Source organism: Homo sapiens, chromosome 12 (assembly GCF_000001405.40).
Source record: "Homo sapiens chromosome 12, GRCh38.p14 Primary Assembly".
Classification (NCBI taxonomy): Eukaryota; Metazoa; Chordata; class Mammalia; order Primates; family Hominidae; genus Homo; species Homo sapiens.
This window is the reverse complement of record NC_000012.12, coordinates 124,229,528-124,245,518: the sequence shown is the minus strand read 5'-3', so window position 1 is coordinate 124,245,518 and position 15,991 is coordinate 124,229,528. Positions and strand designations below refer to the sequence as shown.

Genomic DNA, 15,991 nt, shown 5'->3' with positions numbered 1-15,991 from the left:
CCAGACAACCACTTTCTTGGCTATCAAGACCACTGCTGCCGGGCGCAGTGGCTCACGCCTGTAATCCCAGCACTTTGGGAGGCCGAGGAAGTCGGATCACGAGGTCAGGAGATCAAGACCATCCTGGCTAACACGGTGAAACCCTGTCTCTACTAAAAATACAAAAAATTAGCCAGGCGTAGTGGCAGGTGCCTGTAGTCCCAGCTACTCGGGAGGCTGAGGCAGGAGAATGGCGTGAACCTGGGAGGCGGAGCTTGCAGTGAGCCGAGATCACGCCACTGCACTCCAGCCTGGGCGACAGAGCGAGACTGTCTCAAAAAAAACAAAAAAAAAAGACCACTGCCTCACACCCCACTTGATTGGGGTGAGGAAGGGTGGTGGTGTTATTTTTTTTTAAGTGTTGAAGGAACAAAAACAAAAATTCACAAGTAGGGACCTAATTAAACTAAAGAGCTTCTGCACAGCAAAACAAACTATCAACAGAGTGAACAGACAACCTACAGAATGGGAGAAAATATTCACAAACTATGCATCCAATAAAGGTCTAATATCTAGAATACAAGGAACTTAAACAATTCAACAAACAAGAAACAACCCCATCAAAAATGGGCAAAAGGGCTGGGTGTGGCGGCTCATGCCTGTCATCCCAGCACTTTGGGAGGCCAAGGCGGGTGGATTACCTGAGGTCAGGAGTTCGAGACCAGCCTGGCAAACATGGTGAAATCCCATCTCTACTAAAAATACAAAAATTAGCCGGGCGTGGTGGTGCACACCTGTAATCCCAGCTACTCAGGAAGCTGAGGCAGGAGAATCACTTGAACCCAGGAGGCGGAGGTTGCAGTGAGCTGAGATTGCACCATTGCACTCCAGCCTGGGTGACAAGAGTAAAACTGTCTCAAAAAAAAAAAACAAAAAACAAAAAACAAATGAGCAAAAGTCATGAACAGACACTACTCAAAAGAAGACATACATGCAGCCAACAAATATAGGAAAAAATGCTCAACATCACTAATCACTAAAGAAATGCAAATCAAAACCAAAATGAGATATCATCTCACACCAGTCAGAACGGTTATTATCAAAAAGTCAAAAAACAACAGTTGCTGGCAAGGCTGCAGAGAAAAGGGAGCACTTACACACTATTGGTGGGAACATAAATTAGTTCAGCCACTACGGAAAGCAGTGTGGAGATTCTTGAGGAACTTAGATCTACCATTCGATCCAGTGATTCTGCTATGGAGTATATACCCAAAGGAAAATAAATTGTTCTACCAATTCATCCCAGCACTATTCACTACAGCAAAGAACATGAATCAACCTAGATACCCATCATTGGTGGACTAGATAAAGATGTGGTACATACACACCATGGAATACTACGCAGCCATAAAAAAGAACAAGATCATGTTCTTTGCAGCAACATGGAGGCAGCTGGAGGCCATTATCCTAAGTGAACTAACACAGGAACAGAAAACCATGTTGGGTGTTTTCACTTATAAGTGAGAGCTAAACGGCGAGTGCACATGGACACAAAGATGGGAACAATAGACACTGGGGTTACTAGACAGAGGAGGGTGGCAGGGGGATGTGGGTTGAAAAACTACCCTTCGGGCACTATGCTTACTACCTGGGTGACGGGATCATTTGCACCCTAAACCTCAGCGACATGCAATTTACTCACGTAACAAACCTGCACATGTACCCGCTGGACCTAAAATAAAAGCTGAGAGTGAAAAAGGTGACGAAGGAAACAATAAGGAGAATGTGAGTGAAACACCCAGTTTGGAGGAGAGTAAAGAAAGACTTATTCCTTGGAAAGAGGAATGCAGGCATGCGTGGTAAGGAAACGCGGGTTCATTTGTTTATTAGTTTACATCTCCCTGACAAAATTACAAACAAACAAAATAGGAAAGCGAGTCTTAGAAGAATATATAAAATGCATCCCAAAGAACCAAAAAGGAGTGCGTTTTTAACCACTCGTCATTGGAAATCGACAGCATCATAACTCCTGTGTTAGTCTCCCAGGACCACCGTAACAAAGTACCATACACGGAGCAGCTTAAGCAACAGAAATTTATTATCTCACAGCTCTGGAGGCTCCACATCTGAGATCCACGTGTCAGCGGGGCCATGCTCCCTCACAGGGTGCCAGGGAAGGGTCTGTTCCACACCTCTCTCCAGCTCCTGGTACTTCCTCGGCTGGTGACAGCAGAATTCAGTCTTCCCTCAGGGTCTCCCTGTGTGTGCGCCTCTGTTCCACTTTCTCCCTTTTATAATGAAACTGATCATACCAGACTAGGGGCCCCGCTACTCCAGTATGATCTTAACTAATGACATCTGCAACAACCTCGTTTCCAACCGAGGTCACATTCCGAGGCGCTGGGGATTAGCACTTTGAGGTATGAATGGGCAGGAGTGCAATTCAATCCATAACCCTCCTCTTCACTATGGAATGATATAGCATCAACTTTAAAAAATGATTCCAACTTATCCTTGTTGGGTACCAGTGGGTGATAGAAATCGAGATGAATTTATTGCTGGTAATTTTTGTAGACTCAGTGCCCAGTTCCCAAGTTCCTATTCTCTGTACTATTGCCCTATGTGTGTGCAAACATACTCACACATGCACGTGCACCCACATGCACGTGCACCCACATGCACGCGCACCCATGTGCACGTGCACCCACATGCATAAATGCACAAGTGCACACAGGTGCATGCACATTCAGGCCCATGCAAAGGTGAAATTTCCACCGAGCTACATATAGGGTTAAATCAAGGGGAAGAAAGCAGAACTTGGAAAAACCGACTGTGGGTGTTAAGCAATCCCCCAGCTGTTTGAAAAAGAGTCTGAGGATTTCAGGGAGCCCAGAGTTGGGCCAGCTCCCCAGCCCTCTGGGCAGCCCCCAGGCTCTGCACCCTGCCCTTCCACTTTGCTCCAAGTCTCTCAAGAGCCCAGTGTGGTTGGCGGATGTCTGGGGCAAAGACACAGATGTCATTATTTTGAGCCCCTCCTCAACCCTGCTGCCCCCTGAATGGCCAGACCATAGGTCAAAACCAGGGGTGCAGCTGATGGACCACAGCAGCAAAGATGCTCCATTTCCCTCAAAAAAACACCCCATTGTTTCTGCAGAGCAGCAAAGCCAACCAGGGACTCACCAGGTCCTGGCTGGGGAAGAGAGATCTCAGCTGTTACAGGCGTTGAAGTCAGGAAACAGGACCCCAGGTAAGCTTTGAAGAGATGGGCGGATAGTTCTAGACTTTTTCAAAATTTTGCTTCAGCAGAGAACATTCCTTTTTAACTCATGCGTTTCTAGTTGGTGAAGTAGGCTGGAGCTTTTGCCAAACATAAACTCCAACGCTTCAAGGTGTAAACTTCTAGAGACGAGGGATTCCGGGATTTTTCTTTTGTTGTCTGCAATGTTCTTGTAATTTGCATTTGTCTTTGTTTTGACCAGGCAGAGGAAAATAATGTATGCTCACAGTACCCCTTACGGCGGATCGAGTCGCGGCTCCCTGCCGTCCGTCCCTGCTGCTCTCACCGAAGTGCCTGTAGCGTAGCCTCACCTGCCAGGACTGTCGGCCTTGCTGCAGTGCACAAACAGAGCGTTTTTTTATGGAAATGGGGCACCTTTGCCACTCTGGTCCATCAAGGGCACCTGTGGGCTTCAGTCACATGCTCACCCCTTCTGGTGACTTGGCAGTGCCCACTATGAGAGTGGACAGTGTTTTTTTCCCTTCCCCATTGAAGGGCTCAGCCCAAGGCTTGCCTTAGCTAATGGGATGAGAATGGAGCGAGAGCCACTTCCGATGGCCTTCGTCCCCCTGTCTTCTGACATTCCTGAGGCCATCACTGTCCATTTGGCCTGAGCCTCAGTGGACTTCGGCCCCTCAATGGACATCAGGCCCACAGTGTGCATGACTTCAGGTGGCTCCAGCTGTCAGCCACCAAGTCACTCTGGCTGAGGCCAAGTGGAGCAGAGATGAGGCTGTCCCCACCTAGCCCTACCAAAACAAACGTCAGCAAATAAACATTGCCCTTGTGAAGTGAGGGGATCACTTGTTACAGAGCCCTGGGGACTGCGGCAGCCTGGCTTCTCTCTGGGCTTCCATGATGCTCACTGTCCTTGGTTATCTCCTACCTCACGGACTCGTCCTCCTTCATCTCTTCGGTGGGATCCTCCAGCCCTGAGTACCCCTCAAATGTGCTGGACCCCAAGTCTAACGTCACTTCTTTTTCTACCTCACCTGCCTCTTCTTTTGGGATTTCATTGCTCTCTTGGCTCAAAGTACCATCTATGTACACATTCGGTGCAGACTTCTCACCCAAGCTTCCTAGACATCTCCACTGGAGCTCACAGTTCCCCTGAGTCTGAGCATTAACTCATTGCCTTCCTTCTAAGCCCTTTCTTCCTTCTAAATTCTCAGTCCACCTGTCCTGTGCTAGATGTGCCTTCCTCTCTGTCACATCCTGCATGGAATTGATTGTCAAGTGATAATTACGGTATTGCCCTAAAATTGCTTGAATCTGTTCCACCCACTGATTTAGGCTCCTATCATCTCTCAACAGCAGCTGCTGTAGTCCTCACTGCTCCAATAACAATCTCAAAACTAAAGTGGCTTAACACAGGGAAAATGTGTTTCCCATTCATGCTGACATAGGATGGTCTTCCATATGGTGGTTCAGGGGCCCAGGCTTCTTCCATGTTGTGTCTCCATCCCAGCATCCTTCACTGGATCCTCTGTGTCCAGCTGGGAGACAGAGAAGAGCTTGGAGTTTCTCTCAGGAGCTTTTAGGGCCCAGACCTGGAAGTGGCCATATCACTCTGGCTAATGATCCATTGGCTGGAACTAATCACATGACCCTGCCTAGAGGCAAGGGGTGCTGGGAAATGTAGTCTGTTGGGGGGAGTGGGGAGGAGCCCAGGAAGGAGAGGAACAGGGGATTTAGAGGCCACTGGCAGTCTCCGTTAACCAACTTCCCTGCTCCACAGAGTGACTCATGTTCAATGCCAGGATGGACAGGACACCCTTCTGCTTAGAATCCTGAAGTGGCTCCCTTATCACTTGCCATGCACTGACCCAGGTCCTTAAAATGGCATCCAAGTCCCTTTCTACTCATTTCCTGCCACTTCTTGTCTCTGTTTTATGGGCCAGCAATACCCATACCGCCCAACAAACCTTTGTGTGTGTGCCTTTCATCCTCTCTTCCCCCACACTTACTATGGCTACACTCCGACCTGCCCTAGGGACTCAGCCCTGCTCCTGATGGTCTCTACTACGTGACTAACCCTCACTCCTGGTGCCCCCAGCTCAATCACTGTACCTTGGGTCTTGTCTTAGGTGCTGATCATGATTCTGTCCCTCTCTCCACACTGAGAGCTCCTGCAAGGCAAGAATGATGTTTATTTCTCCCATGTTTCCTTGTTGAGCGCTCAGCACATAAAAAATACTTTTAAAATGTTGATGGACTGAATGGATGGGTGAGCTGCTTTGTCTCTTGCAGAAGGAAAGTTGTGCCAGCCTGTCCAATCAGGGTGCCTGCTGGACCCAGGCTCCCTGGCTAGGGCCATGGCGGCATAGCTCCTGCCGAGGGCAAGATCTGACAACATGCTCATGAGAAGGGATTAGCAGTCCAGGAGATTCTGTCGCCATAATCTGATTCTCAGGATTTCAGATAAGGAATACAGAGAGAGTTGGCTCATCATAACTGAAGCGGAAACCTGGACACGGAGAAGGCAGAGAGTGCTGGGACCATCAGGCGCGGGGCTGTGAGAAGCTTTGTGTGAACATTATGAGTACAAGAAACAGTGGGGAAAAGAAAAAGTCATCAGAGAAGGGGGTGAGGTGGGTGAAGCTGTACAAGGATGGAGTGGCAGAGGCCAGGACAGAGAGTGGCCAGCCCCCCATGCTGGCATGGGACAGATGACCCAGCGTTGCTGAGATCACAAGACACTGATTGCTAGAGCCTGCATTGGTTGTCAGCATCTCCCAGGTCCCCAACTCCCGCACAGGCCCGGGATGCCTGGAGTCCCCTGTTCCCGGGTCCTGTGAGAGTCATCTCACTTTGATTTTCCAACGCAACATTTGGTAGGACAGTTGTTGGTTGGGAAACTTCTTTCACTTCTAGATGGCTCATGGATCTGGGTCTGGAGATGCTGGGATCTGCTGACGGGCCCTGAAATCTTTCTTCCTCCTTCCCTTTCAGAAACAACTCTCAAGAAACCAACTTGCTTGGCTCAGTCTCCCCGAAATCCTGTGGCCTGCAGCCTTTGGAACTGGGTTTATTTATTCATTTGAATTGGATCCTGGCATTTCTTTGTGTTTGTTCTCTCCATAAAGACCTTTTTATTTGGGTCCTGGAGAGCTGTTTACTGCTTAGCTCATGTGACATGAAGATTGTGAGGACCTGGAGGCCTTAACTCCTGTTACTCCCCAGCGAACTCTGCCCTCCAGGGAAACAGGTGGGGCTCCATCCAGATAAGAACAGCCTTTCCAAACAGGAACGACCTCACTCCCCAAACGCAAAGAGCTTAGAGATTAAAAATGCAGGCAACCTCCTACCCACTCATCCCAGGAAGGTGCAGAGTCCTAGGGACCCACTGGGAGAGGGCTGGATTGCTGTAATTAAAAGTACTTTTAAATGAGCATTTTGAAGTTTTCTTGTTCTTGGTTTAAAAAAATTAAAAAGCTAAGAAGGCTGAAACTGGGTAAAGGGGCTTTAGGCGTGGTGAGATGAAGATCCCGGTGAATTTTGGAGAGTGCTGTCAGTCCCGGGCTGTGGGCAGAGGCTGGCTTGACCAGGGGTCCTGAAAGGAGTGGACGGGTCAAAAGCAGACAAAGGAAACGTGGGTCACTCGCATGAGTTGCAAAGGGAAGGAGAGAAATCGAACAGTCCGTCATCAGACAAGTCCAAGGAAAGAGATGTTTTACTTCAAGAACTGGGAAGAACCAAGCATCTTTGAAGATGGAAGGGTTTTGTAGGGAAAGAGGGGAAGATGTTTTGGAGGAGGGTTGAGAAAGCAAGCAAAACTTGGAGGTAAATGAAAAAGGGTCAGACTCAAGAGCGGATGGAAGGGTGGGAGTAGAGATGAAAAATAATATTTGATTTATTGACTGAAGGGTTTTGATGCCGTGGGCAGGGCAGCGAGCGTTTTGCAGGTAATACTCCTCATAGCATCCCCCTGACATAGACAATACTATAGTACCCATTTTCCAGGCTCTCTCACCTGTTACAGGCATTCTCCTCTCCTCGAGGAGAACGAGGCTTACAGAGGTGGGACCTGTCTGTGGCCACACTGGGCAGATGCAGAATAGGATCTCATGAGGTGTCCATCAGAGGAGAACAGCTCATCCTCTGAGGGTGGAGGAAGGATGTCCTGGAGTGGCAATGTCCAATAGAAATAGAATTTGAGGCCAGGCACGGTGGCTCACGCCTGTAATCCCAGCCCTTTGGGAGGCCGAGCCAGGCAGATCCCCTGAGGTCAGGAGTTCGAGATCAGCCTGGCCAACATGGTGAAACCCTGTCTCTGCTAAAAATTAGCTGGGCGTGATAGCACACGCATGTAGTCCCAGCTACTCGGGAGCCTGAGGCAGGAGAATCGCTTGAACCCAGGGGCCGGAGGTTGCAGTGAGCTGAGGTTGCACCACTGCACTCCAGCCTGGGCGGCAGATCGAGACTCCATCTCAAAAAAAAAAAAAGGCCAGGCCCAGTGGCTCACACCTGTGATCCCAGCACTTTGGGAGGCCGAGGCGGGTGGATCACCTGAGGTCAGGAGTTTGAGACCAGCAAGGCTAACGTGGCGAAACTCCGTCTCTGCTAAAAATATAAAAATTACTCGGGAGGCCGAGGCAGGAGAATCGCTTGAACCCGGGAGGCAGAGGTTGCAGTGAGCCGAGATGGTGCCATTGCACGCCAGCCTGGGCGACAGAGCAAGACTCCATCTCAAAAAAAAGAAATGGAATTTGAGCCACAAGTGCAAACTGTGTGTGTATTTTGAATTTCCTAGTGGCCACACTAACAAGGGTGAAAAGAAACAGGTGAACAGGTGAAATTAATTTTCATAATGTAATTTACTTAGCCCAGTATATCTGAAATATTATCATTTCAACACGTGATCAGTATATACAAATTATTAAGGTGATATTTTGCATGATTTTTCCATACTAAGCCTTTGGAATTCGGTGTGTATTTCACATGTGTGGCGTATCTCCATGTGATCCATCTCCACCCGAAGGGAGAAAGCACTCAGTAGCCCCACAGGGCTGGTGGCTGCCATATTGGTAGGCAGAGAACTAGAGAATGACTCCTTCAGGAACTACTAAGCCATATCTTGGGGTCATAAAATGAGGAATCTTCAGGTTGGCTTCAGGCCCAAGACTTGTTACATATTTTTTAAAATAAACTTTTTAATTTGAAATAATTTTAGATTTACAAAACCATTGTATTCTTATGTATCTCAAACTCTAGAATCTTCCTGCGGCAGCTCAGGGTACATCAGCTGGTCCACAGAGTCTGGCATATTCAGGGCATAGGACTTTTGGGGTTTTGAGAAGTCAGACCAAGGCTGACCCAATTACTTGGGTGATCAGAGTCAGAATTCCCCAGAAATTACTCAGGGTATTGAGACTCTGTGGAATGTTCCAGAGTCCATGATAACAGAGGGAGCTGTAAAATATCTAAGTTATGATTCGGTTTTCTAATTACACCCAACTTCCTCTCTGGGTGAGCAACAGCTTCTCAGCTAACATTTACTCCCAAGGTGGTGGCCGGGGAGTGGGCACAGGACAGGAGACACCAGAACAATTGAGCGGTGTCAACAGCCGCTCTGGCCAGAAGTATCTGTCAGCTCCCGACTGACTGCAGCCACCCTGTCCAATAGAAACAGAATTCAAGCTGCATATGTAGTTTTAAATTTTCTATTGGCCACATGAAAAAATAAAAAGAAGTAGGTGAAGATAATTTTAATAACATATATTCCTTAACCCAGCACATCTAAAATATTACCATTTCAACAGGCCAACAATATTAAAAAATACGAATGAGATAGTTTACATTATTTTTTGGTACCAAGTCTTCGAAATCCAATGTGCATTTTATACTTATTTGTATGTCAATTTGCATGTTATATGTTAATGGAAAATTTGTAAAGTTATGTACATTTCATCAGTTATTTAAAAACTGTAAATTCCATAAAAGACTCCGTTCACAGTTGAAAAGCTAGATTCACCTTCTAAAGTTGTTTCAAACATACTTCAAAAGTTTCCTAACAACTGAATCAAGTATCAGTTTTTGAATTTAGGTTGATTAAAATTAAATTAAACTAAAAATCCAGTTTCTCAGTTGCATTGGCCACATTTCAGGGTTCAGTAGCCACATGTGGCCAGCAGCTACCATATTGGACAACAGCCGTTAACACACTGGGCACCTCCTGTTAACACTGGATTTCTTTTTTCAGCTCCAGCTCTGTCTCCTTGCCTTTAGCTTGTCCAAGTAAATCTTCAGACTTGGTTTTCTCATCATCAATTTGTCCTCGCTTTGCACTTTTCACCCAGCGAGGGCTTTGCCAATATGGTTGGCTTATGCCAAGGACTTCCGCTTCTGAGATGGAGACTTGTCTGGGGCATGGCTTGCCTTTGTTTTTCTAGATCCCCATCAACATCGGTCCTTGTGGAAACTACTCAAGGGGCTGTGGTGTAATTTGCAGGTCCTCTGCCCTTAGGAGGAGCACAGAAGTTGATGACGGAAATTGTTCTCTATGGTGCTGTCCTGATTTTTTTTTCCTATCCCCTCCTGAGCATTTGAACTGTAAGCCACCATTTCCAGGGCGATGCTGTGGGTGTGTTTATCTTGGCGTCTCAGGGAGGGGAGCCCTCCCAGCCTTGGTCATGTGGCTGTCAGCACAACACACCTGTTTTCTGTTTCTGGTGGTTGATGGGGACTCACTCACTGAATTTTGGGTCTTCCTTAAGTGCTTAAATTAGAGTAAGCAAATAAATAACAGGGGAAAGGGAGTTTTAGAAATTGTATGTACAAACCACTAAAATTTACTATACAACTTCCTCAGCCACAGATATTTTTCTAGGGAATTTGAACAGAGCCATAAGAAGTTTCTCTTCCTGGCAGGAGACGACCCTGATCTGTTTTCAGCCTAGGGGGCGTTGCACAAGAGTGTTGGTGCTATGACAAGATAGCGGTTCCCAATGTTCTTAAGGAGTTTTTCATCTGGAACCACTTGTGGCACCCTTAGGGTATTTCAAGCATTGAGGCATTCTAAAGATGGCTCATTTGTGGATGGTAGTCCTGATGGTGGTGATGATGGTAATGATGGTGGTGATGACAGTGATGACAGTGATGACAGTGTGATGACAGTGATGACCCTGATGATGGTGATGGTGGTGGTGATGGTGATGGTGATGATGGAGGTGATGGTGGTGATGGTGGTGGTGATGGTGATGGTGATGGTGATGATGGTGGTGGTGATGGTGATGGTGATGGTGGTGGTTATGGTGATGGTGATAATGATGGTGGTGGTGATGATGATTATGGTGGTAATGGTGATGATGGAGGTGATGGTGGTGATGGTGGTGGTGGTGGTGACAATTGGATTAACTGGAACCCAGACCTACCAGAGGACTGCATGGAAAAATGCTTTAGCAATTCATGTCATCTTTCTGGACCTCGGATTTCTTCATGAGTATGACAAGGCCTCTCCCCAGATATTCTCTAGGGTCCTTAACATTTTATTATCCTCAAACTGCAATGCTGTCATGGTGATGGTGATCATGGCAATGATGACAATATTAAGAATTAAAGTGATGCAGAAGGACCATCAGGCATGATAATTCGCCAAAAAAAATCTCTAATGATGTTAATTTTTGACTTTATAATTTATGTTGTGGCTCTTGATCAAACCTGTTCATGTTTTCCCTGTATAAAACTCATAGGTGAAACTTCTCTTTCCTTTTTAACTGTGAAGAATCACAAGTGGTGGTATTGCATGTTAGTTCCTTTTTCAAAAACCCACAGGGTTTATGTATTCATTTGGCAAGCATTTAGTGAACACTCACTGTGCCAGCCACTATTTTACACCCTGAGGGTACAGCTCTTGAGCAGACAGGCTGCGGGCTTGTATTCACATCAGGGAAGACAGAAATAAAGAAGCTGATCAACAAACCAGATCACTTCAGATAGTGAGAAGTGCTGCAAGAGAAATTAAACAGAGTAAAGTAATAGAAAGTAACCATGGCACTTTAGTAGATCAAGTAGGCAGGGAAGGTCTTTTGTATGTTTAAAATGCAAAGGGAACATTGAGAAAGATCCAGCCATGAGAAAGCAAGGGAGAGCACTTCTGGCCTGGGGGATGGTTAGCACAGAGGCCCTACGGACATGCCAGGGCACCCGGTCTTCTGTCCTCTCTTGTCTAGTGGGCCACTTTTGTTAAGCTGGCCTGGTGATTTAGGCAAGTGTTTAGTGGTCCACTGTAGATAACAACTGGGGCTTAGTTGCTTCTTCTTGCTGGTGGTGGCAGCAATGACAATAGTGATGAGAGCTCCCTGAGGTGCTGGTGATGAGTTCCCTGCGATGTGCGCTGTCCGTGGGGACAGGTCATGTCTTTCACTTGCCTATCTCCAACTCAGCGTTTAGCTCAGGAAATGCTTGCGGAATTGGAGGTAGATACCGTAATTAAGGAATTAACTGGAAACCAGAGCTACCAGAGGACTGCGTGGGAAACCAGACATAGGTCTAGAGCCCAAGTTAAAGAAGAAAATTAAAGTCTGACCAGACAGAAAAAGAGAGGGAGAAACTGGGTATTTATGCCGCCAATGTACCCAACCACAATCCTCCCAGAACCAGGAAAGGATATGAACACAGTGAATTCCAGCTCATGGAGTCATCAGTGCAGTATCTCAAAGTGATAAAGTGATCAGGCAAACAGCCAGGCACACAATTGAAAGGCTGGAAATTTTCTGTGGTTACCAAAGGCCCTCCCAATGGAATTTCTGTTTAGTTTCTTGGGATTTGCCAAGTATTTTCCGGTACTTTAGTTATTTGCATATTACCTTCCATATTTTTGCTCTGTCAACGTCACTGATATAATACCTATTACCAATCATGTACCATATATAACAGATCAGCACACTTTTTCTGTACAGGGTCAGATGGTCCATATTTCAGGTTTTGTGGGCCAGACAATCTCTGATGCAACTACTCATCTCTGCATTAAAGCAGCCATAGTAATATAATATGCAAATGACAGGCGTGGCTGTGTGTTGATAAAGCTTTATTGACAAAAACATGCTATACACTAGATTTAGCCCAGGGCCATAGTTTGCCAACCTCACCCATACTATTACCTACAAAATATATTAAGGACTCACTGTAAAAAAATATATACAATAAATTAATTTAATGGAAAACTTCCTATCACTCCCCAAAATGGAAAACCAGGAGGCCCTGCCATGAATAAACAACTCCAAAGGTAAATTCTATGAAAACAAAACACGGTTATTAAATTCCAACTAGAAGGATGAACAGCCTGAGGCTTAACTTTTCTTGTTTAGAAAAAAAAAGGAAAACTTAGGAAGTCCTCAGAGGCATTAAAGACTCATTAGCACCAGGCTAAGTCTTTCTCTTTGCAATAATCAGCAGGATTAAAACAAATTGGAAGGGAATGGCTTCTCCACGAGGTGGCTTGATCTCGTTTAAGTACATTCCATTTTCCAAGTGAAGTCATCTTGCTGCCCCTACAGCGGTGCCTGTTTCTGAGAAGCCCTCTGACATAGACAGGAGGCAGCCCCCCTAAACCACACAAGGAGGTGAAGGCTGATCACCTGCCAAGAGGCAGGGCAGCCCTAGGAGGACGGCCCCCACCCCCACGTCCGCCCTAGGCAGTGTGCCTGGGGCTTAGACAGCTGCCCTCGCTGATCCCATAGGGAGGAAACTAAACCCTCCTGCTGAATTACTGCTGGTGACAGGCTATGATGTGAGCCCTCGCTGGAAGGATGACCCAGGACGCGTGCCCACCCTGGCACCTGGATGATTATAAAAAGCCAAATCTGACTCACTCTGCTCCGGCCCGCCCGGCAGCATACACTGGACTGCACTGGTGAGCCCTCTATCTGCTTGTCCCCTGATCTGTCAGGGGCCCCAGGTGGGAGGTGGGTAACCAAGCAGCAGGGGTTGTAAAGCCTGAGCCCTGGGGGACCCAGATGATCCCAGGGAAGGAGGGGCCAGGGTTTCCCTAGGCAGCGCTGGTGCTCCTAAGCTTCATCCGATGGAAGATAATAAACCAGGGCTGAAAGGCAAACAAGGCTAGGCCGCAAAGTAGAAGGTGTGTTAGCTCAAGAATTATCAGCCACTATTACCGTGAGTGAGTTAAACACTTGATTCAAAGAGCAAACTCAGGTGCTCAGCTCACGCACACTGTGCAAACAGGCGGGGCACAGGTGGAGGGCCCAGGAGACACGTGGGCACCAGGCCTCCAACGCACCCCATCCGGAGCCGGAGAGGCCCCTGGAAGGTTTGTGAAGCTCATAAAACCCAAAATTGAAGATTTCATGGGGCTCCAGGGCGAGGGTGCAGCCTCAGGAGCTCTGAGACTCCTACAGAGTCCCTCTGCCTGCTCAGGAATCTTGTGCCTCTCAAGCTAGTTCATCCCACGGGGAAAGCAGGAGACAGAGGACAGCAGAAGCCGTCAATGTCACGCACTCATCCCCTGGGCACTCAGGGCCAGAAGTGCCAGGGACTCTGTGCCTGCTCCCCTCAGGAGGAGCCTTGAGTGGCGACCAACTGAAGTTGATCCCTTAGGGAAGCAACTCCAAGGTGCGTTCCTCCCGTCTTCCAGGGTTCCTTACTGGGATGGAGCCTCGGTGGCCCAGTAGTAACCAGCTCCCTGACGCATGCTTTCTTTCCTGCCTGACTCCCCGCTGCTTCTCTCTGGGAGGTTCCTGGAATCACATCCCAAAATACTCCTCGCACTCAAATCCTCAGCTCACAATCTGCCTCTGGGGGAATCCAGCCCAAGCCTGGGTGTTTCACAAGTAAACACAAAAATATCCCGAGACAGCAGTCGACCAGGTCTGTTGCTAGCTCACCCAGTGCATTTGCACAAGTGAAAAGAGGGCATCCCTTACTCTGGTGGACCCAGAGCACATGTTAGAGTGCAGAGCTTAGGGAGTAGAGCATGGATGCTTTCAGCTCCCATCGCTCTCCTCAGCTGGAACACCCTTGGACAGTGAACAACCTGCCCAACCATACACGACATCTCTACATTCTTAAGCTAGGTGAAGAGCTCATTTTCTGGAAGAACCAGAAGAAGTGATTTTGAGAGAAATTAAAAATAATTAGAAAGAACCCATTGTGTTGGATTGAAATCAGAGTAATTGGTATTAACTCATGGTAACACATATACACACACGTATACACACGCAGATGGATAGATGTATAAATAAATGCAAATGTGTGCATGCATGAATTAGTGTACATATATATATTTGCTGGCTCCAACACACCCAGAAGCAATGACATCCCAACAGTGAAGAGCACCCTTGCACTCAGATCTTGGTTCCTATGCACCATTCTCCAACCAAGCAACCAGTGAACACTTGGAGAAAGGGCTACTTTCAGGACTGGGATGGGGAAAACAAAGATGATCCCATACTGTTGGAAAGTAAGGATGTACTAAAAATAATGATAGCATCACATCAAAAGGGCATTGCGGCAAACTACAAGAAGCACCCAAAGCCCAAATCTGAGAATATTCAAGCCAAGAAAAACAAATAATGATAGTAACGGGTATTGCCCACAGAATAAAATATGTATCCATGAGTCCATACTGCTATGAATAAATGATTGATCTAATAAATAGGATGGGGAGAACACACAGCTCTTCCTGATGGTAGAGTTCTAATGAATGAGTGTGTAGGAGAGATGATGAAATAGAAAGTCACCATTAAGCAAATATGGCAGTCTTAATTACTGCAGGCAGGAATCAATGATGCATGCTAAAACCATCAAGTAAAAATATGAAGAGAAAGGGGACATTTGGAAGTTCTCAAGTATCTCCCCATAAGATACTTATTAAATACACAGAGAGAAACCTGGCAGATGCCACCTTAACAAAGGTCAATGTCTCCAGTGAAAAGGTGATAAGGTTAACATCACCCCTGGTAAGATGGATTGAGGACATGACATCACTTCCGTGGTATTCTTGTATAACCTCAATGTAATCATGAAAAAACATCTGACACAACCAAATTGAGGGACATTTTACATAATTGGCCAGTATTGTTCAAAAGTGTCAAGGTCATGAAAGATACAGAAAGACTGACCATTGGCTGATCTAGGTTGGTCTTGCTGGGACAACTGGGGCCACTCAGCATTGCTCCATGTGTCCCTTACCCTCCAGCAGACCAGCCCACAGACATTCTCAAGAGTGTAGCAGAGGGCAAGAGACCAAGCAGAAACATGCAAGGCCTCTTGAGACTCAGATGTGGAACTGACCCAGCCACTTCTGCCTCATTCTGTTGGTCAAATCCAGTCACATGGCTGAGCCCAGGGCCAGCATAGAGGGTGCTGCAAAGTTAATGCAGGAATCAAAACTACAGGGAGTTATCACTGCACACCCCATAGAATGACTAAGTTTAAAAAGACTGACAATAACAAGTGTTAGCAAGGATGTGGAGCAAGTGGAACTTGCACATACTGCAGACAGGAATGCAAAATGATAGAGCTTTGGAACATAGTCTAGCAGAATTTATAATTAAACATAAACTTACCATGCAACCCAGCAATTGCTCAACTCAGTGTTTACCCCAGAGAAATGAGCTACATCTGCACAAAGACCAATATGCAAATGTCTATAGCACTGGGCTATCTTTTCACAATCACCCCAATAAAAACAACTCAGATGTCCATCAATGGGTGAGTGCATAAGCAAACTGTAGTCTATCCACCCTACAGAATCCTGCTCAGCAACAAAAAAGAGTG

General features: G+C 46.7%; 1 protein-coding gene across 2 annotated transcripts in view, besides 1 other annotated feature; it reads right to left on the bottom strand.

Moving 5' to 3' along the window:
• Positions 1–15,991, bottom strand: part of ZNF664-RFLNA (ZNF664-RFLNA readthrough) — a 342,810-nt gene that overhangs the window by 70,506 nt on the left and 256,313 nt on the right. The gene's annotated exons all lie outside the window — the stretch shown is intronic.
• Positions 3,303–4,205: an enhancer, noted in NCBI's record as "H3K4me1 hESC enhancer chr12:124725860-124726762 (GRCh37/hg19 assembly coordinates)". NCBI's record gives its function as "activates a minimal SCP1, AML or CMV promoter by ChIP-STARR-seq in primed H9 embryonic stem cells {active_cell/tissue: H9 hESC(primed)}" and the evidence as "EXISTENCE:reporter gene assay evidence [ECO:0000049][PMID:30033119]".